This window comes from Homo sapiens, chromosome 10 (genome assembly GCF_000001405.40).
Source record: "Homo sapiens chromosome 10, GRCh38.p14 Primary Assembly".
Lineage (NCBI taxonomy): Eukaryota > Metazoa > Chordata > Mammalia > Primates > Hominidae > Homo > Homo sapiens.
This window is the reverse complement of record NC_000010.11, coordinates 73528853-73553851: the sequence shown is the minus strand read 5'-3', so window position 1 is coordinate 73553851 and position 24999 is coordinate 73528853. Positions and strand designations below refer to the sequence as shown.

General features: G+C 42.0%; 1 protein-coding gene and 2 pseudogenes across 27 annotated transcripts in view, besides 4 other annotated features; 2 read left to right on the top strand and 1 right to left on the bottom strand.

Moving 5' to 3' along the window:
* The window catches only part of USP54 (ubiquitin specific peptidase 54), a 128444-nt gene that overhangs the window by 72130 nt on the left and 31315 nt on the right, over positions 1 to 24999 (top strand). For 14 of the 27 annotated variants that reach the window (NR_165443.1, NM_001391942.1, NM_001391947.1 and 11 more), the window contains 10 exons: positions 8180 to 8314; positions 10721 to 10834; positions 10967 to 11049; positions 12114 to 12219; positions 12331 to 12477; positions 14259 to 14408; positions 17415 to 17583; positions 23017 to 23148; positions 23329 to 23709; positions 23941 to 24172. Coding sequence is in view for 21 of the 27 variants with exons in the window: in NM_001391942.1 (NP_001378871.1) it covers positions 8180 to 8314; positions 10721 to 10834; positions 10967 to 11049; positions 12114 to 12219; positions 12331 to 12477; positions 14259 to 14408; positions 17415 to 17583; positions 23017 to 23148; positions 23329 to 23709; positions 23941 to 24172 (1649 nt within the window). In the remaining 6 variants the exon portion in view is untranslated. Of the gene's footprint in view, positions 1 to 511; positions 638 to 8179; positions 8315 to 10720; positions 10835 to 10966; positions 11050 to 11882; positions 11949 to 12113; positions 12220 to 12330; positions 12478 to 14258; positions 14409 to 17414; positions 17584 to 19081; positions 19253 to 23016; positions 23149 to 23328; positions 23710 to 23940; positions 24664 to 24999 lie in introns of those variants that run through there. The other 13 variants (NR_146998.2, NR_146997.2, NM_001391949.1 and 10 more) reach the window with 5 other exon arrangements.
* Positions 4614 to 4814: a silencer, noted in NCBI's record as "peak1012 fragment used in MPRA reporter construct". NCBI's record gives its function as "represses an SCP1 promoter by STARR-seq MPRAs in K562 erythroleukemia cells {active_cell/tissue: K562}" and the evidence as "EXISTENCE:reporter gene assay evidence [ECO:0000049][PMID:32103011]".
* Positions 10084 to 10292: a silencer, noted in NCBI's record as "fragment chr10:75303318-75303526 (GRCh37/hg19 assembly coordinates)". NCBI's record gives its function as "represses an EF-1alpha promoter that drives an FKBP-Casp9 reporter gene in an ReSE screen in phorbol 12-myristate 13-acetate-treated (for megakaryocytic differentiation) K562 erythroleukemia cells {active_cell/tissue: K562(+PMA)}" and the evidence as "EXISTENCE:reporter gene assay evidence [ECO:0000049][PMID:32094911]".
* On the bottom strand, positions 15399 to 15659 carry RPS26P41 (ribosomal protein S26 pseudogene 41; annotated as a pseudogene).
* Positions 24127 to 24421: an enhancer, noted in NCBI's record as "tiled region #13746; K562 Activating DNase matched - State 25:Art". NCBI's record gives its function as "activates a minimal TATA promoter and a strong SV40 promoter by Sharpr-MPRA in K562 cells {active_cell/tissue: K562}" and the evidence as "EXISTENCE:reporter gene assay evidence [ECO:0000049][PMID:27701403]".
* Positions 24171 to 24270: a silencer, noted in NCBI's record as "silent region_2485". NCBI's record gives its function as "represses an Ori minimal core promoter by ATAC-STARR-seq in GM12878 lymphoblastoid cells {active_cell/tissue: GM12878}" and the evidence as "EXISTENCE:reporter gene assay evidence [ECO:0000049][PMID:35858748]".
* On the top strand, positions 24695 to 24801 carry RNU6-883P (RNA, U6 small nuclear 883, pseudogene; annotated as a pseudogene).

The window sequence follows — 24999 nt, the reverse complement described above, 5'->3', positions numbered from 1 at the left end:
GAAACTAGTTAACAGACAAAAAGTGATTTGCCTTTTCCTGAGAATGAAAAGGAAGACCTCTTTGGTTTCACCCTGTGAAGAAGAGCAGAGAGAAACTCCAAGGTGGATTTTCTCTACTTGTTGAAATGGAACCATCAGGGACCTCACAGGAAAAGTGATTCTTGGGTTTTGGTTCTTCCTGCCCTTTCTCTCTGCCTGTCATAGAACTCAGCAATTGGAAGAATACCAGTTTTTGTTCCTTATTGGTGCTGCCACCTGTTCTTACTGCTGAACTAAATGTTCTTGGCTTTCTTTGGTGTGAACAGGATCTCCCTCTGGGAAAGGTGGGAGGAGGGTGAAAAAGAGAATGGGAGGAGGCCCATTCCAGTCCCTGTGCTCATGTGAGAGGGACACACAGAGGTTAGTGTGCTGCTCTAACAGAGGGGCTTTGTGCTACAGCTTCTTCCAGAGCTCCACAGATGCATGCTGGGCGGGCTCAGTCAGCTTTACCCCTAATACACTTGCTTCTTCCTAACAATAGCAGAGCAAGACTGACAACAATAATTAAAATAAGAGAATAAAGAAGATGTAGTCAGAGGCCATTCTGAATGCATTCAGATTCTCAGTGTGTATGAGGAAGGCTGCCTGTAATTAAGAGGTGAGAAAAGATTATATTGTGGAGACGTTGATACCACTGAACTGGGGAGCCAGATCTATTGTTACAGACCCACTCTGGGTGCAGTCAGAGCTCTGACCTTAAGACCTTTCCCTTTCTCTACTGAAACCCTTGTTATCTAGGTCATGGGAAATATGCCTCCTTTGAGTGGGAGAAACAGAATGGAGAAGAGAAAAAACTGTAGTTCTTCCTACTCAGATCTCAGAGACTGAGGAAGTAGCTCAAGGTAGAAGCACCTGACTCAGATCCCTTCTTTCATCATAGGACAGTGACAGACAGGCTCTTTAGCAACGTGAAATGACTCCCAAATACAATAATAGTAATAATACCTAACATTTAGCACTTATCACACTGACAGAGATTAGTCTAGGATATATACATTTATATTTTTGTTTGTTTTTTTCCTGAGACAGAGTCTCACTCTGTCGTCCAGGCTGGAGTACAGTGGTGTGATCTCAGCTTACTGCAGCCTCCACCTCCCGGGTTCAAGCAATTCTCCTGCTTCAGCCTCCTGAGTAGCTGGGATTACAGGTGATTGCCACCACACCTGGCTAATTTTTGTAATTTTAGTAGAGATGGGGTTTCACAATGTTGGCCAGGCTGGTCTCGAATTCCTGACCTTAGGTAATCCTCCCGACTCAGCCTCCCAAAGTGCTGGGATCACAGGCGTGGGCCACCACGCCCGGCTGATGTATATCTTATATATATATGTGTGTGTGTGTGTGTGTGTACTCATTTAATCCTCAAATAACCCTGGGTAGTAAATACTTTTTTTTTTTTTTTTGAGATGGAGCCTCACTCTATCACCCAGGCTGGAATGCAGTGGTACGATCTCAGCTCACTGCAACCTCCGCCTCCTAGGTTCAAGCAATTCTCCTGTGTCAGCCTCCCGAGTAGCTGGGACTATAGGCGCTCACCGCAACGCCCGGCTACTTTTTGTATTTTTAGTAGAGACGGGATTTCACCATATTGGTCAGGCTGGTGTAAATGCTATTATTAAACTCTCTTTTAAAAGAGAAACTGAAGCCTTAAGAAGTTAAATAATTTACCCGAGATCATATAGCTGAAGTGTCAGCCTTGGGATTTTGAACCCATTTTAGCTCCAGAATCCAGTCTCTTAACCATTACACCATACCGTCTCTGAGTGGAGCCCTGTCTTTCTCTAACAGGGTCATCTGAACCACACAGAACACAAAGTGATTAGAGTGACTATTTTCTTAATTCTCTCCAAGATGCCATATAGCTAGTGCTATGCATAGGAGAGTTGCTATTTCATTAGGAACAGTTGAGGCCCTAGAGTATTAGGGCTTAATTCTTGAGGAAATCCAGTTGAAGAAGACTAAAGGGGCCAGAGTTTATAAATTTCAGATTTGTATAGAACTATCCTGGAAATAATTTCCTATTGGTTTGTTTTGGAACCAATTTTGGATTTTGAACAAAGGACCAAACCTCATCCATCCTTTGTTCTGTAATAGAGCCTATGTCAGCAGTAATTTCTTACCAGTAACAATTGAGAAGAGCAACAGGCTGGGATGTAATAGTGGTCACTAAATTTTGCCAAGCTGGGTTGACCTTCTTTCAACAAATCATCATGTCGTCAGGCCACTATGCAATTTGTAAAAGCAGTCACTGCTTTTTCCCCCTTCCTTTTCCTTTGTTTCTCCTTATTTCTCCAAAGGTTCAAAATCCCATAGGTCACTGGACACATATCCAATTATTTAACTGTGGACCTAGATCATTCCTTTTGGTCTAGTTTAAGAGGTTACTGATAGACATTCTTCCCCTTCCAGTAACAAATTATGGAAGGCCTGCCCTGCCTTTCCTTGACCTTATAGTGGACTTGTGTATAAATTTCTAGGTTAAGCCAAAATAATGTGGAGTAATTATAACAGATTTCCCTCACAGCTTATTAAATAATACTAAATATGTATTGCTGGCACTGCCTCTCCCACATCATATGGAGACATTTGTAGGAACATAATAGCAGGTTACACAGTAATCTGTTCTTGAGCTGCTGCAGTAGATATTCAGTGTGTATGAGGAGGAAAGGTGCTAGTGAGAGGGCAGAATGGGAAAAACAATTTATTTTTTTTGAGACAGAGTCTTGCTCTGTCGCCCAGGCTGGAGTGCAGTATGCAATCTCGGCTCACTGCAAGCTCTGCCTTCTGGGTTCACGCCATTCTCCTGCCTCAGCCTCCGCAGTAGCTGGGACTATGGGCACCTGCCACCATGCCTGGATAATTTTTGTATTTTTAGTAGAGACGGGGTTTCACCTTGTTAGCCAGGATGGTCTCGATCTCCTGACCTCGTGATCCGCCCACCTCGGCCTCCCAAAGTGCTGGGATTGCAGGCGTGAGCCACCACGCCTGGCCGGAAAAACAATTTTGACCTGAAATTAGCAGAACTAAATTTAGTCTTATTTTGTCCTAACCAGTAATATTACCTTAAGAAAGTTTTTCTGCTTTTTAAGGTGATTCCTTACTTATTTAAAAAAAAACAGATTTTAATAATATCTCCCCCTTAGATCTACCTGCATCACATAATGATTAATTGATTCATTTAAAAATAGTTATCGGTTACACTTTGTATGCCAGTACTGTCCTAGTTGCTGGGAATATACACAGAATAAAAGGATAAAGATTTATGTCTTATATTCTCAATATTGGAATCAGACAAGTAAAATATATAGTATGACAGATAGTAATAATTGCTATAGAGAAAAAATATGTAAGAGTGGGGAGTTTGGGGAAGGGAGGGTGGAGCTTACAATTTTAAAGAGGGTGATCAGGAAGTACTCTATTATAGAGAAGGTAGTATTTGGATAAAAAATCCACAGGAAATGAGTGATTGAGCCATACATATCTAGAGGAAGAATGATCCAGGCATAGAACTCAAGTGCAGAGATATACATGGTAGGTTTGGGGCATAGTGAGGGGCCAGCTGGTGTAGGGTGAACCAGAAGTAGAATAGTATGGCTGGGCGTGGTGGCCCACGCCTGTTATCCCAGCACTTTGGGAGGCTGAGGCAGGTGGATCATCTGAGATCAGGGATTCAAGACCAACCTGGCCAACATAGCAAAACCCGGCCTCTACTAAAAATGCAAAACTTAGCCGGGTGTAGTGGCACATACCTGTAATCCCAGCTACTTGGGAGGCTGAGGCAGCAGAATCGCTTGAACCTGGGAGGTGGAGGTTACAGTGAGCCGAGATCACACCATTGCACTCCAGCATGGGTGACAGAGTGAGACTCCATCTCAAAAACAAAACAAAACAAAGAGAAGTGGAATCGTAGGCCAGATTACGTAAGGACTTAGCAGTTTGGCTTTTACTGTGTATGCCATGGGAAGCCTTTAGAGAGTTTTGAGCAGAAGAATGATATGATCTGATTTATATTTTTAAAAAATCATATGATTGCTGTATTTGTCTGCTGTGTGTTTCTGCAGGGAGACAAGGGGATCAGTCAGGAAACTTGCAATTATCCAGTGAAGAGGTGAGATGACTTGGACTAGGCTGATAGCAGATGAGGTGGTGAACAGTGTAGGGTCTAGATATATTTGAGAGTGGAATAGGGTCTAGATATATTTGAGAGTGGAAATAGGGGATTTGCCTGTAGATTGGATGGGAGTTGTGAAAGCAAGGGAAGGGTCACAGGTGGTTTCCAAGGTTTTCGACCTAAACAACTGCAAGGATGGTGGCGGTGTTTACTGAGATGGGACAAGAAGGCAAAATGTGGATGTTGGGAGGAAACATAAAACATTTAGTTTGGGGAATGTTAAATTTGAAATGCCCATTGATATTCAAATGTAGACGTCCAATATATAGTTAGATACATTAGGTTGGTACAAAAGCAGTTGTAGTTTTTGCCAACTACAAATTTGGAATTCAGGAGGGAGATTTGGGCTGTTAGTGTAATTTTGGGAATTGTCAATGTATGTGTATGTAAAACCATGTTAGATGAGACCACTAAGAATGTGAGTGACTTTAGGGAAGTCAAGAGGTCCAAGGCCTGAGTTTTGGAATTGAAAAGGAACCAGCAAAGGAGACTGATAAGGAGTGACCATTGACCACTGAGGTAGGAAGAAAACCTGAAGGGGTGCCCTGGAACCAGGGGAAGGAAGTATTTTAAAGATTAGCTGAGTTAAATGCTGCTGATAGGTCAAGTAAGAGGAAAACCAAGAATTGACCACTCAAGGTTGGTGGGGCCTCCTATTCTTAGATCACATAGGTAGGTTTATAAAATGGTCTTATTTCTGGTCTTGTTAGTAATATGTCTGAAAAATAAAACTTGGATATTTTAATATGAATAAATTACTTTTTTAATAAAATTATACTTTAAGTTCTAGGGTACATGTGCACAACGTGCAGGTTTGTTACATAGGTATACATGTGTTGGTTTGCTGCACCCATCAGTTCGTCATTTATATTAGATATTTCTCCTAATGCTATCCCTCCCTCAGCCCCCCACCTCCCGACAGGCCCCGGTGTATGATGTTCCCTGCCCTGTGTCCAAGTGTTCTCATTCTTCAATTCCCACCTATGAGTGAGAACATACGGTGTTTGGTTTTCTGTCCTTGTGATAGTTTGCTGAGAATGATGGCTTCCAGCTTCATCCATGTCCCTGCAAAGGACATGAACTCATTTTTTTTAAGGCTGCATAGTATTCCATGGTGTATATGTGCCACATTTTCTTAATCCAGTCTGTCATTGATGGACATTTGGTTTGGTTCCAAGTCTTTGCTATTGTGAATAGTGCTGCAATAAACATACGTGTGCATGTGTCTTTATAGTAGCATGATTTATAATCCTTTGGGTATATACCCAGTAAAGGGATTGCTGGGTCAAATGGTATTTCTAGTTCTAGATCCTTGAGGAATTGCCACGCTGTCTTCCACAGTGTTGAACTAATTTACACTCCCACCAACAGTGTAAAAGTGTTCCTATTTCTCCACATCCTCTCCAGCATCTGTTGTTTCCTGACTTTTTAATGATCACCATTCTAACTGGCATGAGATGGTATCTCATTGTGGTTTTGATTTGCATTTCTCTGATGACCAGTGACGATGAGCATTTTTTCATGTGTCTGTTGGCTGCATAAATGTCTTCTTTTGAGAAGTGTCTGTTCATATCTTTTGCCCGCCTTTTGATGGGGTTATTTTTTTTTTCTTGTAAATTTGTTTAAGTTCTTTGTAGATTCTGGATATTAACCCTTTGTCACATGGATAGATTGCAAAAATGTTCTACCGTTCTGTAGGTTGCCTGTTCACTCTGATGGTAGTTTCTTTTGCTGTGCAGAAGCTCTTTAGTTTAATTAGATCCCATTTGTGTATTTTGGCTTTTATTGCCATTGCTTTTGGTGTTTTAGTCATGAAGTCCTTGCCCATGCCTATGTCCTGAATGGTATTGCCTAGGTTTTCTTCTAGGGTTTTTATGGTTTTAGTCTGATATTTAAGTCTTTAATCCATCTTGAATTAATTGTTGTATAAGTTGTAAGGAAGGGATCCAGTTTCAGCTTTCTACATATGGCTAGCCAGTTTTCCCAGCACCATTTATTAAATAGGAAATCCTTTCCCATTTCTTGATTTTGTCAGGTTTGTCAAAGATCAGATTGTTGTAGATGTGTGGCATTATTTCTGAGGCCTCTGTTCTGTTCCATTGGTCTATATCTCTGTTTTGGTACCAGTACCATGCTGTTTTGGTTACTGTAGTCTTGTAGTATAGTTTGAAGTCAGATAGCGTGATGCCTCCAGCTTTGTTCTTTTTGCTTAGGATTGTCTTGGCAATGCAGGCTCTTTTTTGGTTCCATATGAACTTTAAAGTAGTTCGGGCTGGAGTGCAGTGGCATGATCTCAGCTCACTGCAGCCTCAGCCTCCCGGGTTCAAGTGATTCTCTTGCCTCAGCCTCCCGAGTAGCAGGACTACAGGCATGCACCACCATGCTGGGCTAAGTTTTGTATTTTTAGTAGAGACGGGGTTTCACCATGTTGCCCAGGCTGGTCTTGTTCTCCTGAGCTCAAGTGATTACAAGTATTGGCATTATAGGCGTGTGCCACTGCACCTGGCTGATTCTACTCTTTGGACATGATATTCATCAGGGTTCAGATGTAGGTAAAGATGGAAAAGATACATTTAATTACACCAAAATTAAAAAGTGATGTGCATTCAAATACACCAAGGTCAGTAGATTGGGAGAATATATTTGCCACAAGTAATACAAAGGACCCAGAAAGACGAAATTAAAGACTAAATTAAAACTAAATGGTCTCACAGTATTAATTTTTGACAAGAATATGGGGAAATTTTTACTATATATTGGTAGAAGTATAAGTTGGCATTGTGTCTTTGTAATAGCAAAAAATTGGAGACAGCCAAAATGTCTGTCAGTAAAGAAATGGATAAATAGATGTGGGTTAGTGACCCGATAAAAATGCTATACAGCAGAGAAAAGGTGTACCAGGTCTATATCTATATCATCATGGATAGATCTCAAAAACGATGCTAAATAAAAAACAAAAAACAACAAGTAAAATTCAGTGTGATACTTTTTACATGAAAAATACTAATAAGGCTGGGCGCAGTGATTCACGTCTGTAATCCCAGCAATTTTAGAGGCCAAGGTGAGAGGACTGCATGAGCCCAGGAGTTTGAGACCAGCCTGGACAACATGGTGAGACCCCATCTCTTACAAAACAATTAAAAAGTTAGCGGTGTGTGGTGGTGCATGCCTGTAGTCCCATTTACTCAGGATGCTGAGGCAGGAGGTTGAGGCTACAGTGAGCCACGTTCATGCCACTGCACTCCAGCCTGGGTGACAAAGCAAGACCCTGTTCAAAAAAACAACAACAAGAACACACACAAAAAAACAAAAAACCCACAAATATACACAAAAGTATCCTATGTATTATTTAGGGATATATATGTAAAACTATTAAAAACAGATTATACAACAAATTTATGATATGAGTGGCTGGTAGAGAGTGGGGCAGTCTTAAACAAGACTTTAGCATTATCTGTAGATGAAAGTAAACATGATAGAATGTTTATTTCTGGGTATTAGACTCACAGATTTTTGTTATATTAGTCTTTGTACTTTTTGGTAATTTTATATTAGCTGGAAATTTTAAAAGAAAGGGGGTCAAGATTCATAGGATGAACCCCCAGAAAATAATTTGTTGATAACGTTTACGTGTAATTTTTCTTTTTTTACCTAACCCATTTACTTCTGTCTGTATTAGAGGAAGAGGAAATGAGGTAACTGCATTACATTAATTCATGACAGTGGTTTCTCCTAATGTGTCCTTGGCATCACACTCAGATGAAGGAGTGAGGATCTTTATTAGCACAGATCATGCCCTTCATTCTGACTCTTGATTTTATTTTTAATTACTAACTGCAAGCATGTCAACCCATGGGAAGCACATTTGGTTTCATAGCTATCATCATGGAGATGCTAGCATGACAGACTAGGATGTATAGAAGTTTAATAACAGCATTGTACTTTTTCTCTTGTCTAACCTCTTCCCTATAGGGAATCTTTAACCAGTTTCAGTGTAGTAGTGAAAAAGTGCTTCCATCTGACACTCTCCGCAGTGCTCTGGCAAAGACTTTCCAGGATGAACAACGTTTCCAGCTGGGAATTATGGATGATGCTGCAGAGTGCTTTGTAAGTGCTGGCCTCTGGCCCTCTTTGATATGGGGTGGGACTGCTGATGGTCTCCATCAGGGACTGGCTACTTTATGGTGGAATTTGCTGTGCCCTTATCTCTACAGTTAGAACTAGGAGTTTTCTCTGATTTTTCAGGGATCTAAAATGTCTCTGTTATAGCAGTGTGTTATTATTTTTCCTTTAGGCTGGTGGTTTTGTGCTTGTCATTGCATAAAACATCAGCTCTCACCTTCAGAGGATCCAAGGCTCATTAAAATACAGATTGTACCCCCAGAGCTTCTGATACAGTAGGCCCGGCAGAGGAGTCCCGGAATATCTGTATCTAACAGGTTCCTAAGTGATGCTAATACTGATGCTGCTCCTCCATTTCTAAAGATAATTAATCAGGGAATAACTGAGTCCCTAGCATAAGTGTGATGTGCTATATGGCTACATTGCCTCCAGTGCCCCTCGCTCTTCTGAACTCTGTGTTCTATACATCAACCTTCGAAAGACTCTCTGTAAATCCATTTAGAAAATTTGAGGCCGGGCATGGTGGCTCATGCCTGTAATCTCAGCACTTTGGGAGGCCAAGGCAGGCAGATCACAAGGTCAGGAGTTCAAGACTAGCCTGGCCAACGTAGCGAAACCCCATCTCTACTAAAAATACAAAAATTAGCCAGGCATGGTGGCGGGCGCCTATAGTCCCAGCTACTTGGGAGGCTGAGGCAAGAGAATCACTTGAACTTGGGAGGAGGAGGTTGTAGTGAGCCTAGATAGCACCACTGTACTCCAGCCTGGGTGACACAGTGAGACTCTGTCTCAAAAGAAAAAAAGAAAAAAAAAAGAAAATTTGAGAGTGATACATATCTCATCACAGGGTAAAATGTGGCCCCAAATCAGAGGTGCTCCTGAGGAACTGGATCACTGATATATTGCTGGTGGGAATGTAAAATGGTATAGCTACTCTGGAAAACAGTTTGGCAGTTTCTTAAAAAGCTAGACATGTAAACTACCGTATGATCTAGCAATTACATTCCTGGACATGTATCCCACAGAAATGAAAACTTATATTAAAACAAAACCTGTTTATGAATGTTCATAGAAGTGTTATTCATAATAGTAAAAAACTGGAAACAACCCAAATGTCCTTCAGTGAGTAGACGGTTAAACAAATGATGATACTTCTGTACCGTGAAGAACTATGCAGCAATACAAAGCATTAAGTATTTTTATAAAAATAAAAAGAAACTATTGATTTACACAACTTGGACAGACCTCAAGGGAAAGTGAAAAATGCAATATCAAAAGGTTATATGCTGGCCGGGCTCACTCCTGTAATCCCAGCACTTTGGGAAGCCAAGGTGGGCGGATCACTTGAGGTCAGGAGTTCGAGAGCAGCCTGGTCAACGTGGTGAAACGCCGTCTCTATTAAAAACACAAAACTTAGCCAGGCGTGGTGGCACATACCTGTAATCCCAGCTACTTGGGAGGCTGAGGCAGGAGAATCTCTTGAACCCGGGAGGTAGAGGTTGCAGTGAGCCGAGATCGCTCTACTGTACTCCTGCCTGGGCGACAGAGACAGAGTGTGTCTCAAAAAAAAAAAAAAGGTTATGTGGTATGTGATCCCATTTATATAACATTCTTGAAATAAAATGATGGAGATGAGAGAAGACATTAGTGATTACCACAGGTTAGGGTTAGGTTTGGACGGGTAAGGCTCTAAATGGTTAGCATGAGGGAGCCTTGTGATGGAACTGGTCTATATCTTGATAAAATGGCATAGAGCTATACATACACACACACAAATGAATGCATGTAAAACTGGTGAAATCTGAATAAAGTCTGGATCCTATCAATGTCCATTTCCTGATACAGTTATCAAAGTTGTGCCGGGTGCGGTGGCTCACGCCTGTAATCCCAGCACTTTGGGAGCCTGGGGCGGGCGGATCACGAGGTCAGGAGATCGAGACCATCCTGGCTAACACGGTGAAACCTCGTCTCTACTAAAAATACAAAAAATTAGCCGGGCGTGGTGGCGGGCGCCTGTAGTCCCAGCTACTCGGGAGGCTGAGGCAGGAGAATGGCGTGAACCCGGGAGGTGGAGCTTGCAGTGAGCCAAGATTGAGCCACTGCACTCCAGCCTGGGTGACAGAGCGAGACTCCATCTCAAAAAACAAAAAAACAAACAAAAAAAACACAGATGTTACTGTTGGAGGAAGCTGGGTGAAGGGTACAGGGGATCTCCTATACATTTTTGAAACTTGCTATGAATTTATAATTTTTTTAAACTAAAAATTTTTAAAAATCAAAATATTCCTACCTTCCAGAAGGGTTGCTGTTTCTATGGGTAAGCTGCTTACCAATTTATGTATTTGTCTATTAAATATTGTTGGTATACTGCTTTTGTTCTTTCCCTGTCAGGAAAACCTCCTGATGAGAATTCACTTCCACATTGCTGATGAAACCAAAGAGGATATATGTACTGCCCAACACTGCATTTCCCATCAGAAATTTGCAATGACATTGTTTGAGCAGGTGAACTCTAGCTCCATCTTTTTTTAGACATTTCTTCCAGAACACTTTATCCTGGGATGTGGGGTGTTAAATGGGTGCCAAAACAGTTCCTGATTATGGTTGCTTGGTTTTGCCTTTTTCTCTTTTGCCCAGTGTGTATGTACTAGCTGTGGTGCCACTTCTGATCCGCTGCCTTTCATCCAGATGGTACATTATATCTCCACCACTTCCCTTTGGTGAGTCTTACAAGATTTTCTGTTGTGCGTTTAGGCATTCCTCCAGTTGATTGGACTTTTTTTTTTTTTTTTGAGACAGAGTCTCGCTCTGTTGCCCAGGCTGCAGTGCAGTGGCACAATCTCGGCTTACTGCAACCTCCGCCTCCTGGGTTCAAGCGATTCTCCTGCCTCCATCTCCCAAGTAGCTGAGACTTCCAGCTACTTACAAATAGTACACACTGCGCTAATTTTTTTGTGTTTTTAGCAGGACGGTGTTTCATCATGTTGGTCAGGCTGGTCTTGAACTCGTGACCTCAAATGATCTACCTGCCTTGGCCTCCCAAAGTGCTGGGATTACAGGCGTGAGCCACAGTGCCTGGCCTATTGGACTTTAATTGGAGACATTCAAATAGTTTTATATCTTGGCCGGGCATGGTGGCTCATGCCTATAATCCTAGCACTTTGGGAGGCCCAGGTGGGCGGATCACTTGAGGCTAAGAGTTCGAGACCAGCCTGGCCAACATGACAAAACCCTGTCTCTACTAAAAATGTCAAGAATTAGCCAGGCATGGTTGCGCGTGCCTGTAATCCCAGCTATTCTGAAGGCTGAGGCATGAGAATTGCTTGAACCCAGGAGGCGGAGGTTTCTGTGAGCTGAGATTGAGCCCCTGCACTCCAGCCAGGTAACAGAGCGAGACCCTGTCTCAAAAAAACCACCACCAACAACAATAAAAACACAAATAGTTTTATATCCTTATTGCTGAATCTGTGCTATATTGTAGGAATGCAGAACAGTAATTTAAAAATAATTTTTGTTCTCCTTCTTTCCTCTCCCATCCCTCCCCTTTTCTTAGGCTCAGTACTGGCCAGCAAAGTGGGAGGAGGAGTGGGGATTCTATGAGCTTTGGATCTGGGGACAGGTAGAGGTACTTACTGTGTTTATGGGACACTGAGCCTGGTCAGGGGCTTTGGTATAGGGGGCAGAGGAAGAAAGTCAAATGTGTGAGTTAGGAATGTACATTAATGTTTGATTTAGCAGTAACTAAATACAAACCATCATCCCCCTTCTATTCCCCATCTTGAAGCAATCAGGCTATTTGTATGCTGGAAAGACGAGAGAAACCTTCACCAAGCATGTTTGGTGAGCTGCTGCAGAATGCCAGCACCATGGGGGATCTGCGGAACTGTCCAGTGAGTTAAATCAGGGGTGGGGTTTGGAGTGGGAAAGGGAACCATCGATCAGTGGAATTGATGCAAAGCCAGTGGGAAACATGTTGAACTAGCCTTATATATGTATTTCAGAGCAACTGTGGAGAGAGGATCAGGATTCGCCGTGTGTTGATGAATGCTCCACAGATTATCACGATTGGGCTGGTATGGGACTCAGACCACTCAGACTTAGCAGAAGATGTTATCCACAGCCTGGGAACCTGCCTTAAGCTGGGTGATGTGCGTGTTAGTTACCTTTATCTCTCACTTTGAGTTCTTGCGTCTTAGTATTGCTTAGGAGCAGTGAGCACTAGACAAACAGGTATGTCCTAGATGACAAGTATTATAATGTTTTGGACAGATAAACTTATTTGTGTACAGATACCCGTGCTTGCAGGTATGTGCTCATATACCTCCTTTTATAGGTGGCAAAGAGTTTTTAAGAAGAAATGGGATGACTTGACCTTGAAAGACAGGATAGGCAGAGCTTAGCTACTGATAAAAATAAATCAGTAATTCAAAGAGTTATTATATGTTCTATTCATTGTTAGTTTATACGAGTATAAAGTAGGGAAGGGTGTTCAACCATGGGAGGTAGTAAGGTCCAAAGAGGGGCATTCCTGACTAGAACTGCTATAGTAGGTGAAGAAGTTAAAAGTTGGTGACCTGAGCCCAAAAATATGAAATTCACAGTGTGGAACTAATGTCTGGGATAATACTGGGACTAAAGAAAACCTTTGTTATTGTTTTTTAATGTCATTAAGCCATGACTGAGAATAAATGAACTTTCTGGGATCTTATTTTAGGTTTTCTTCCTAAGGAATCTTACCTGAGTAGGCTGTGAGCAATAAAATCTCCATTTTTCACCAGTGCCTACCTGTAGTCCCAGCTACTCAGGAGGCTGAGGTGGGAGGATTGCTTAAGGAGTTCAAGGCTGTAGTGTGCAATGATTCTGCCTGTGAATAGCCACTACATTCTAGCCTAGGCAGCATAGCAAGACCCTGTCTCTTAAAAACAAAAGCAATTGTTTCTTTTTTGTTTTTTTGAGATGGAGTCTTGCTCTGTCGCCCAGGCTGGAGTGCAGTAGTGTGATCTCCCTTCACTGCAAGCTCCGCTTCCTGGGTTCATGCCATTCTCCTGCCTCAGCCTCCCCAGTAGATGGGACTACAGGTGCCTGCCACCATGCCCGGCTAATTTTTTGTATTTTTAGTAGACACGGAGTTTCACCATGTTAGCCAGGATGGTCTCGATCTCCTGACCTCGTGATCTGCCTGCCTCCCCCTCCAAAAGTGCTGGGATTACAGGCGTGAGCCACCGCGCCCAGCTGGTTTTTTTTTTTTTTTAATCCAACTTTCCTGGCTCCTCTTATGATAGGCCCTGGTAAGAAAATTATTGAAAGGTATGAAGAAAGATCATCACCATACCAGTTTACTGGCCACTATCTGTCTTGCTTTTCCTTACTTTTTGTCTTTTTGGGTTAATTTCTTTCTTTCTTTCTTTCTTTTTTTGAGATGGGGTCTTGCTCTGTCGCCCAGGCTGGAGTGCAGTGTCATGATCTCGGTTCACTGCAATCTCTGCCTCCTGCCTCAACGTCTCAAGTAGCTGGGATTACAGACATGCACCACCACACCCAGCTGATTTTTGTATTTTTAGTAGAGATGGGGTTTCACTATGTTGGCCAGGCTGGTCTCGAATACCTGACCTCAAGAGATCTGTTCACCTCACCCTCCCAAAGTGTAGGAATTACAGGCGTGAGCCACCACACTGGGCCTAAAGATAGGGTCTTGCTATCTAGTCTAGGTTGTTCTCGAACTCTTGTCCTCAAGTAATTCTCTTACCTTGGCCTCACAAAGTGCTGAAGTTAAATTCTGATGATTAATCTAAACTAACAAAAATCTTAAACTGAAGGGAAGAGAAGCAAGTCAGTACCTTACTTAAGAAATGCTGGTGGAGTCTGCTGAGAGATGATGTGGAATGGTTGAATATGTGACTGTGCTTTCTTTTCTCTTCTTTCCCCTCAGCTGTTTTTCAGAGTGACGGATGACCGGGCCAAGCAATCTGAACTGTACTTAGTTGGAATGATCTGTTACTATGGCAAACATTATTCTACATTCTTTTTTCAAACAAAGATTCGCAAATGGATGTATTTTGATGATGCTCATGTCAAGGAGGTAGGAGTAGTCAAGTCCTTTTTGAAGTGTTTGGTGACTACAAAAAAAAAGAATAATCATTTGTCTTTAGTGTTTCATTTTCATAATTTTGAATGGGACCTCCCCACATTTCTATAAAACATATATATATATATATTTTTTTTTTTTTTAATTTTTTTTTTTTTTGAGATGGAGTCTCACTCTGTCACCCAGGTTGGAGTGCAGTGGCTTGGTCTTGGCTCACTGCAATCTCTGCCTCCTGGGTTCAAGTGATTCTCCCACCTCAGCCTCCTGAGTAGCTGGGAGTACATGCGCATGCTACCACACCTGGCTAATTTTTGTATTTTTAGTAGAGACAGAGTTTCACTATGTTTGCCAGGCTGGTCTCGAACTCCTGACCTTGTGATCCGCCTACCTCAGCCTCCCAAAGTGCTGGAATTATAGGCATGAGCCACTGTGCCCGGCGTATTTTATATTTTTATGTCTGTCTGCCTACTGAATTCATGAAGGTATCATTTTGTCTTCCCCTGAAGATGGCTAGTTCTTCGAGGATAGGAACAATGTATCTTCTATTATATCCTCTGAATCCCCTCACCAGGCATTCAGCAGTTTTGTATTTATAGGTGACAAAGCATTTTACTTTATTTTTTGAGATAGGGTTTCCTCACTCTATTGCCCAGGCTGGAGTGCAGGGGCGTGATAATGGCTCACTGCAGCCTTTATTTTCCAGGTTTAAGCAATTCTCTCACCTTAGTCTTTTGAGTAGCTGTGACTATAGGTGTGTGGCCACCACACCCAGCTAGTTAAAATTTTTTGTTTTTTTGTTTTAGAGATGTTACCCAGGCTGGTCTGGAACTCCTGGGCTCAAGTGATCCTCCCTCCTCAGCCTGCCAAAGTGTTGGGATTACAGGCGTGAGCCACAGTGCCTGGCCCAAAGTGTTTTTTTAAACTATAATCTCCTTTTTTTTTTTCTAGAAAATAGTTTTTCTTCAGTCCTGAGAAGTCAGCTCCTTACGTGGGCTTTGGTGGAGCTCATGGGTCAGCACTCGAAGGTCTAAATCTGGGTGGGGATGTTATCACCTTTTGGGCTCGGGGAGATTGATTACTGACTACCTTGCTATGAATGGCACAATTCATGTAGTAACGTAGCTTTACCTACAGCTTAGGAAGCACATAGGCATCAAAGAAATTTACTTCAGAAATGTCCTTGACAGCTGCAGCCTTTACTATGTTTTGAATGAGAAACTTTTTTTTTTTTTTGACATAGGGTCTTGCTCTGTCACCCAGGTTGGGGTGTAGGGGCGCGATCTCAGCTCACTGCAACCTCTGCCTCCCGGGCCCAAGTGATTCTCGTGCCTCAGCCTCCCGAGTAGCTGGGATTACGGGCGCGTACCATCATGCCTGGCTGATTTTTGTATTTTTAGGAGAGATGGAGTTTCTCCATGTTGGCCAGGCTGGTCTCAAACTCCTGACATTAAGTGATCCACCCGCCTTGGCCTCCCAAAGTGCTGGGATTACAGATGTGAGCCACCACGCCCGGCCTTGAATGAGAAACTTCTTAATAGCCTTGTCCTTGGGCATGCCTCAGGCACAGTTCATGCAGTGAGTGAGCTGCACATAGCCACAGCCCTTTTTGGCATGCCATGTTCTTTCCTTTCTTTGTCTTCTTGGAAGCTAGGACCCCAGAGAGGAATTTTTTTTTTTTTTTTTTTAATGTGTGTGTTGATTGATTTGAGTAGGAACACTCTAATGCCTCAAATGAGGTTATAAGGTTAATACAAAGTTCAGAATTTCAGATCTTGGAGTTATCAGTGGGTACTACTTTGTCTCGGGGCTGCTGTAAATTATTCTTTGTTGTCTCCCTGAAGTGCCCCATCACAGAGTAACATGTGTTTTGGGATAGTTATAAGGCATGTAGGGTTATAATGACAAAGCAGGAAAGTTGGTACTGTCTAAACCACAGAGTTTGTGGTTGAAGTGGCTTATGTGATCTGCATGAGTTAGGAAGCTGCTTGTGATAAGGTTAGCAGATAAGGAGATAAGGTGTGACTATAATCTACACCAATCCACAGACTTTAAGCAGTGTCTTCCACAAATAGTAAAGTATTTGTCAAATTCCCTTATTCTTTTCTTTGTCTCTTTTGCGTTGTTGTAATTTGGGGCAATTTATTTAAGTTCTTTTAGATTTAGGGTTTTTATTTGAAAATACCCTTACAAAGTAGTAAATATGATTATATTAATATGTGAAGAGCATATAAATGTTTTAATTAATAACTCAGTTTTAAGTTTACTGGACATCTGTTGTGAACATATCACTATGCTAGTTGTCTAACCCCAAGAGCAGCACATTATCTAAGAAATGTGACTGGTTCAAGCTTAAGATGGTGTGAGTTTGAGGATTGGGTTGAATTGATTCTGTGGCTGTTCTCTCTTTTCCACTATGGTAACAGAGCTGAATCCAGCACAGGGCTAAGGCCGAGAGGTTCAATTGTCTATTCTAAGCAGTTTGACATTTTATATCCTACCATTTGCGAACTCTGAAACTGAATGTCATTTGTTCTAAGGCAGTCTGTGAAAGAGTTTCTGTCTGCTCTTCAGCTTCATGAAAGTGATTTTAATATTTGGGAGAAAACTAAGGAAATGCAGATTTCTAGTGAGGGCTTAATTTGATGTCTGTGAAAAGAAATTGGTCACCAAGGCAGCTGAAGTTCCCTCACGTAGCATATCCACCTTTGAGGACTTTTATTCCTATTTTACAACTGAGTTGATGGTTCACAGAAATAAAATTAATTTTATTCATTCTTTTATTCTCCTATAGGATTTTAGTGCTTTCTAAAAGGACTTAGCAAAGAAAAAAAAGATTTAATTAAAAAAGTGTTAGGTCTGAGATCTTTTTTGCTGCCTTTTTACCCAATTCTTATCTTTTCATCTCTTTTATTTTCTTTAGAAATACAGAACAGAAAGATATGTTGTGAATTGTGGGTATAAAGTATAATTGTCATGTTCTTCTGGTTGTTTCTGGTTCAGATTGGGCCCAAATGGAAGGATGTGGTGACCAAATGCATCAAGGGGCATTATCAGCCCCTGCTGCTGCTTTATGCAGATCCCCAGGGTACCCCAGTTTCCACCCAGGACCTGCCTCCCCAAGCTGAGTTCCAGTCATACAGCAGGACATGCTACGACAGTGAAGATTCAGGTGAGCAGCCAGGCTCTTTACCTCTCCTCTCTCCTCACCCCATGCGATCAAACAGTTGGGACTCATAGTTAATTATGTGCTTAGCTCGTAACCTAGCTTGGAGAAAGAGGATCCATTAGAGGTAAGAAAGAAGTGCCAATTTGTGCTGAAGCCTAACTTGGGCCAGCCTTTATTTCCTTCAGTTGTCAAAACAGTGTTGCCTAAATCACTTGGCCTCAACTCAGAAGTGAAAAGGAAATTATGTTTATTTAGACTGAGATATTAAGTTTGCAAGGCTCAATATTTAACCTTCTAATATTGGTGAGGATGGCTGATTTTTATTAGCAATTTACCAGTGACTTAATTGAGTTGTTTTATTTGAGCCACTACAAGGCTAGTTATTTTGTTTGGCATGAGATATTTTTGTTTTAAAATTGCAAATGTGTAGCTGGGCAGGGTGATGCATGCCTGTTATCCTAGCTATTTGGGAGGCTGAGGTGGGAGGATCACTTGAGCCCTGGAGTTCGAGCCTAGCCTGGGCAAAATAGCAAGACTCTGTCTTGGAGGGGGGAAAAATTCCTTGTCCAGTAGTAATATTCCTCTGCTTATGAATCAGTTGTTCACTTCTAAGTTAATTTTTCAGAACTTAAGTAACGACTTTCTGTAAAAACAATTTTCAGCTTGATGGCTAAAGTTCTAGGGTAGCTCACAGAATCTTATAATATATTTGAGGTATAACCTAATAGTTTTGGCTTGATTACTGAAAAGGAGGAAGAAATATTATTTTACCCTTCTGGATCTGGTACTGGCCCTTGATATAATTTTGAAAGAGAAGATACTTGACTTTGACGTCTTTCTTTCTCCCCTTTGTACCTCCCTCCTGCTTGGTACCTGGTGCTTTCTTCCACCTTTCATACCCCACCCAGACCTGTTCTACCTCTTCTCCCTTCAGTCAAATACCCATTTGTCCTATTATGCTTATCTCAGCTAGGTATTCAGAGGGAAGCAGTCTGATTGAACTAATTTATACTAATGTATGTCATATAACAGCCCCAATAATTTCTCAGAGTCATTAAAAATGCATCTGGTATCAATTCAAAAATTTAAGTGACATTCTTGGCAGTATAGGAGAAAGATTATGGGATAGGAGAACAACTGACTATGTATGACAGGTTGTCCTGGGACTTTCCATCTAAATAGATCTTACTTTTCACAACTTTTTCATCACTTCTGCTTTTCCCCCGATAGGTTTTATAAAACCCTCACAGTTTTTCACAGTGGCAGGCAAAGTGAGGGCTTCAGCAGGGTAGGGAAAGGGATGGGAGGAATTTTACATGTGTCTGGGTGATCTGGAAGTTGGGTGTTGGGAAGAATGGCTTGATGGTATAGCATATCCTTCTCACACTTGTGTCTAGGAAGTTCTTGCCTTATGGAGCTTTGTTGTGTCCATCTCTTTTCCTTCTCTTTGCTACTGTTCTGTTTCCTCACTTTTTGCATATGTGTTTCCTCCTCCTCTCAGGGAGGGAGCCCTCCATCTCAAGTGACACTCGAACAGATTCCTCAACGGAGAGCTATCCCTACAAACATTCCCACCATGAGTCTGTGGTCAGTCACTTCTCTTCTGATTCTCAGGGGACAGTCATCTATAATGTGGAAAATGATTCCATGTCTCAGAGCAGTCGGGACACAGGTAGGGACTTATACAGAGGGTCCTGCTTGCCTGAATCAATTCCTGCATAGATCTCCTAAGAAAAAGAAACTGTGAGGCCAGGCGCAGTGGCTCACACCTGTAATCCCAGCACTTTGGGAGGCCGAGGCGGGCGGCCAAGGTGGGTGGATCATGAGGTAAGGAGATGGAGACCATCCTGGCTAACACACGGTGAAACTCCGTCTCTACTAAAAATACAAAAAAAAAATTAGTTGGGCATGGTGGCAGGCACCTGTAGTCCTACCTACTCGGGAGGCTGAGGCAGGAGAATGGCATGAACCCAGGAGGCGAAGCTTTCAGTGAGCTGGGATCGTGCCACTGCACTCCAGCCTGGGCAACAGAGCGAGACTCCGTCTCAAAAAAAAAAAAAAGGAGAAAGAAACTGGGGGAAGTCAGAAATGTTCGTTACGCAAAGGCACAATGGCACAGAATTTGGGCAATTCAATGGGATACAAAGAAGCAACACAGTTTTGAATGAACCGTGATGCTCCATTGCACATACTCCTGTCAATAGCAGCATGTCAATAAAGACGATTGTAATGTGATTATTGATGTGATTATTCTGAAGTGTGCTTTTCTTCTCCTATACTCTTGATTCCCGTAGTATCCCATTAAGCCCCTGTGATCTTGCACATCATCATGTTCTCATGCCAGGCTTTGTCCTAAGTGAAGAGCTTTGATAGAAGGGGCCTATTTATGGGATTGGTGAGGGACAACTGCATGTCAGCTTGCTAAGCTTCCTGAAGGATAGAGAAGCAAAAGAATGAAAGATACCTATTTGTTATTGTGAGTTCCATGCAGAGAATATTCTTGCATTGTTTTGTTTATCTGTAGGAGAGTATGCCCATGTCAGAGGAAGAAATCAATACAGGGAAGAACAGTGAATGACTGCTGAGATGGAAAGTTTATTCTGGGAGATAGAATGCCTAAGGCATAGAACAGTGTCCATATTCTTAGGGACTGTGAGAATTTGTGAGCTCATTGTTTGAGATTGGTGGTTTATAAGCTGTGGGGGCTTTTTTTTTTTTTAAATATCAAGAATTTCAAAGATATTCAAAACTGTATAGAATAGTGTACTGCCCATTCATGTACCCATCACCTAGTTTCAGTAATTATAACTCATGGCCAGTCTAGTTTTACCTGTACCTTTACCCACTCCTGGATTATTTTGAAGCACATCCCAGGCATTATATCACATTTTCCATAAATATATCTTATGTTTGCTCAAACATAAGAAATCACTTTTTAAACATAGCATTATAACACCTTTTTTTTTTTGAGTTGGAGTCGCTCTGTCGCCCAGGCTGGAGTGCAGTGGCACGATCTTGGCTCACTGCAATCTCCACCTCCCAGGTTCATGCCATTCTCCTGCCTCAGCCTCCCGAGTAGCTGGGACCACAGGCGCCCGCCACCACGCCTGGCTAATTTTTTGTATTTTTAGTAGAGACGGGGTTTCACCGTGTTAGCCAGGATGGTCTCGATCTCCTGACCTCGTGATCCACCCACCTCGGCCTCCCAAAGTGCTGGGATTACAGGCGTGAGCCACCGTGCCCAGCCCAGCATTGTAACACTTAAAAATAATAATGATGATTCCTTAAAACTGATAGGTAACCAATGAGTGTTCACATATCCACTTATAAGTATCATAATATTTTCATGGTTTATGTGTTTGACTCAGCATCTAAATGAGGTCTATGCATTCTGATGAGTTGATAAGTCCTTTGCATTTCTTTTAATCTACTGTTTTTTCCTCTATTTTTTTTCCTTGCAATTTATTGCTAGAACTAGGTATTTTGTCCTGTAGATTTCCCACATTCTGAATTTTGCTGATTTTATTCCTATGGTATACTTTAACACGTTTCTGTGTCCTATATTTCTTGTAAATTGGTAGTTGGACCTAGAGGTTTTGTCAGACTTGTGCTGGCTTTCTTTTGATGACTACTGCATTGATTGTGTCAGGTGTGAGTTTTTTAGACCCACTTTTTGAAGCTGTGAACCAGAGAGAAGCCAAGCCACAGGATAAACTAAGCATATTTTCCAGTAGAGGCAGATTTGTGTTAATGGTTTGAACATGCCCATTGGTTTAACATTTGTAAGACTTAGTTGCGGCCGGGCACAGTGGCTCACGCCTGTAATCCCAGCACTTTGGGAGGCCGAGGTGGGTGGATCACGAGGTCAGGAGATCGAGACCATCCTGGCTAACATGGTGAAACCCCGTCTCTACTAAAAAAAATACAAAAAGTTAGCTGGGTGTGGTGGCAGGCGTCTGTAGTCCCAGCTACTCAGGAGGCTGAGGCAGGAGAATGGCGTGAACCCGGAAGGCGGAGCTTGCAGTGAGTTGAGATCGCACCACTGCACTCCAGCCTGGGTGACAGAGCGAGACTCCGTCTCAAAAAAAAAAAAAGACTTAGTTGTTCCAAGTTATTTCCTCCTCTCTTAAATCTTTCTTGTGGGCACAGAGGTAGCAAACGACCAAATAAAAGCAATACAAGATTCCAAGGGGCAACTGATTGAAAATATGTATCCATATCACTACACTGGTGATACTTGAATATGCATAAGGATTCTCATATGCTATCATGTGAAAACAAATTTTTGTTAGCTCTCCATGCATTTGACCTAGGTTTTTTTTTTCTAAGCATATCTTCAAACTTAATTTACCTGCTTAATTCATCTCTGGCTTCTAGCAATTTAGTTGCTTATATCCTTTAGAATCTGACTTTTGCTGTCATCAAATCATGCTCATGTATTTGCATACTATGGGCATGAAGCAGGGCAAGTTACATAAAAGAGCCCAGCTCTCCTGGTTTTCCCAGTGATTAGTATTAAGGAACTATGAAGTGTAATCTCTGGATGGAGCCAAGTTTCGTGAAGATGGGTTGGGGATAGGAATGAGAATCAAAGTTGAAATGCCCTTTAAATGATCCACAATTAAGGAAAGCTTGGAACTGGGTCTTAAAGCCATATAAAATCAGACCTCTTGTGGGCAAAGTCTGGAGTATCCAGGATAATACCAGATGTACTGAAAATCAGACTTTATTTGATATGTGTTGCTAAATAAATAAAAGGAAAACTCTGTCTTCAATTTATGAGAGTGAAAGTATATGGCTACCTGACATTTTTATATAATCTTTAAAACTTTTGCCTTTAAAAAGTTACCTAGAAACATGTCATTAGTCCTTCTGGGTCACTGGGGAAGATTAGGAGTGGGATTGAGATTGGTCATTGCTCAGGAGACATTGTAAATTTGGATGCTCCCAGCTTCTCTGCATTTATCTTTTTTTTTTTTTTTTGAGACAGTCTTGCTCTGTCGTCCAGGCTGGAGTGCAGTGGCGTGATCTCGGCTCACTGCAACCTCCTGGGTTCAAGTGATTCTAATGCCTTAGCCTCTCAGTAGCTGGGACTACAGGCACATGCCACCATGCCGGACTAATTTTTGTATTTTTAGTAGAGACAGGGTTTTGCCATGTTGGTCAGTCTGGTCTCGAACTCCTGGCCTCAAGTGATCTGCCCGCCTTAGCCTCCCAAAGTGCTGCAATTATAGGTGTGAGTCACTGCACCTGGCCCTTCTCTGCATTTATCTACTGGGAGGTTCCTACACTGAAATCAGATAGCCTATGCCCTACAGCTTCTGTTCCATGGGTACTCTAAATTTGTGGCACTCCCAAAGGGAGATTAGGTAGGTTCTCAGGAGGGTGGAGGTTAGTCTCAGATACCAGCTTACCCCAATTTCCTTGTTTTTTCAGGACACCTGACTGATAGTGAATGTAATCAGAAACACACATCCAAGAAAGGGTCACTGATAGAGCGCAAGAGGAGCTCTGGTCGGGTTAGGAGGAAAGGCGATGAGCCCCAGGCCTCGGGATACCACAGTGAAGGCAAGCCCTTCTGCACTGCTTCTCTTTCTCCTTCATTCACTCTATCAAACTTCTGTCATGCTCCAGACTGTTGGCTTCTCCTTTCTGTTCAGAGGGCTTTTCTTTGCTTTTTCGACATTGGGGTCTAGTATCCATGATCACTTTAAACATCTATATTTCTTTCATTCTTTGTGTTTTTAGGAGAAACACTGAAAGAGAAGCAGGCTCCTAGAAATGCCTCCAAACCATCCAGCAGCACCAACAGGCTGAGAGATTTTAAAGAGACAGTCAGCAATATGATCCATAACAGACCATCCCTGGCTTCTCAGACCAATGTAGGCTCTCACTGCAGGGGCAGAGGAGGAGACCAGCCTGACAAAAAACCTCCTAGGACCCTGCCTTTACACTCTCGTGACTGGGAAATAGAGAGTACCAGCAGTGAGTCAAAATCCAGTTCTTCCAGCAAGTATCGTCCCACATGGAGACCCAAACGAGAATCTCTGAATATTGACAGTATCTTTAGTAAGGACAAAAGGAAGCACTGTGGCTATACCCAGCTTAGCCCCTTTTCTGAGGATTCAGGTGAGGAGATAATTAGGGAAGAATTGGGCTTTTGAATAAAGTTGATTTATGTCTTTTTAAAACCTGGGTTTTTTGGTACATCTGGCAAGGGGCACTTTTACTCTGATGTCGGGTGTTTTAGGGATATGAGTTCAGTGAATAAGTAGCTAGAGGGAGGAGCTAGTTAGGTCTTGATTTTAGGCAAATGCTAAATCTACCTCATTTTCCATACCTGTCTTTTGATTGGGATAGCTAAAGAATTTATACCAGATGAACCAAGCAAGCCACCTTCTTACGACATTAAATTTGGTGGACCAAGCCCCCAGTACAAGCGCTGGGGCCCAGCACGGCCAGGCTCTCACCTTTTAGAGCAGCACCCCCGACTAATCCAGCGAATGGAATCTGGCTATGAAAGCAGTGAGAGGAACAGCAGCAGCCCTGTCAGCCTGGATGCAGCCCTGCCTGAGAGCTCAAATGTCTACAGGTATTGTTTGGCCTTTGAACAGCAACATTGTCTCTTGCAGCAATGTGAGCCACCTACTTGGGGCTTTCAGGCATGGCTGAGACAAGTGGAGGGATGGCCTTTGCTATTATCTCTATGTGCTCTTTCAACTTCCTATAACAACAGCACCCTCTGCTGGAAGAACAGAGGCACTTGAGAAAGGAGAGAGAACTTTCTATTTGAAATACAGTTATCATGTATAAAATAATTTTAAAAAATTAGGTTCAGGGGGCATATGTGCAGGTTTGTTAGGATAAACTTGTGTCATAGGAGTTCATTGTACAGATTATTTTGTTACCCACATATTAAGCTAGTACTCACTAATTATTTTTCCTGATCCTTTCTTTCCTCCCACCCTCCACCCTCCGATAGGCCTGTGTCTGTTGTTCCCCTCTGTGTGTTCATGTGTCCTCACCATGTAGCTCCCACTTATAAGTGACAATATGCTGTATTTGGTTTTCTGTTCCTGTCTTAGTTTGCTAAGGATAATGAAATAATTGTTTAGTGCTTGCTTTGGTAGCACATATACTAAAATTGGAACAATACAGAGAAGATTAGCATGGCTCCTGCTCAAAGGTGGCACAAAAATTTGTGAAGATTTCTGTATTTTTCAGATATGTAGGATAAACAAGTCTAGGGATCTAATGTAAAACATGACTACAATTAATAAAATTGTACTGCATATGAGATTCATGGTAAATGAGTAGATTTTAACTCCTCTTGCCACAAAAACAAAAAAAATGGGTAACTATATGAGATGATGGGTATATTAATTTCCTTCAATTATAGTAACCATTTTACTGTCTCTA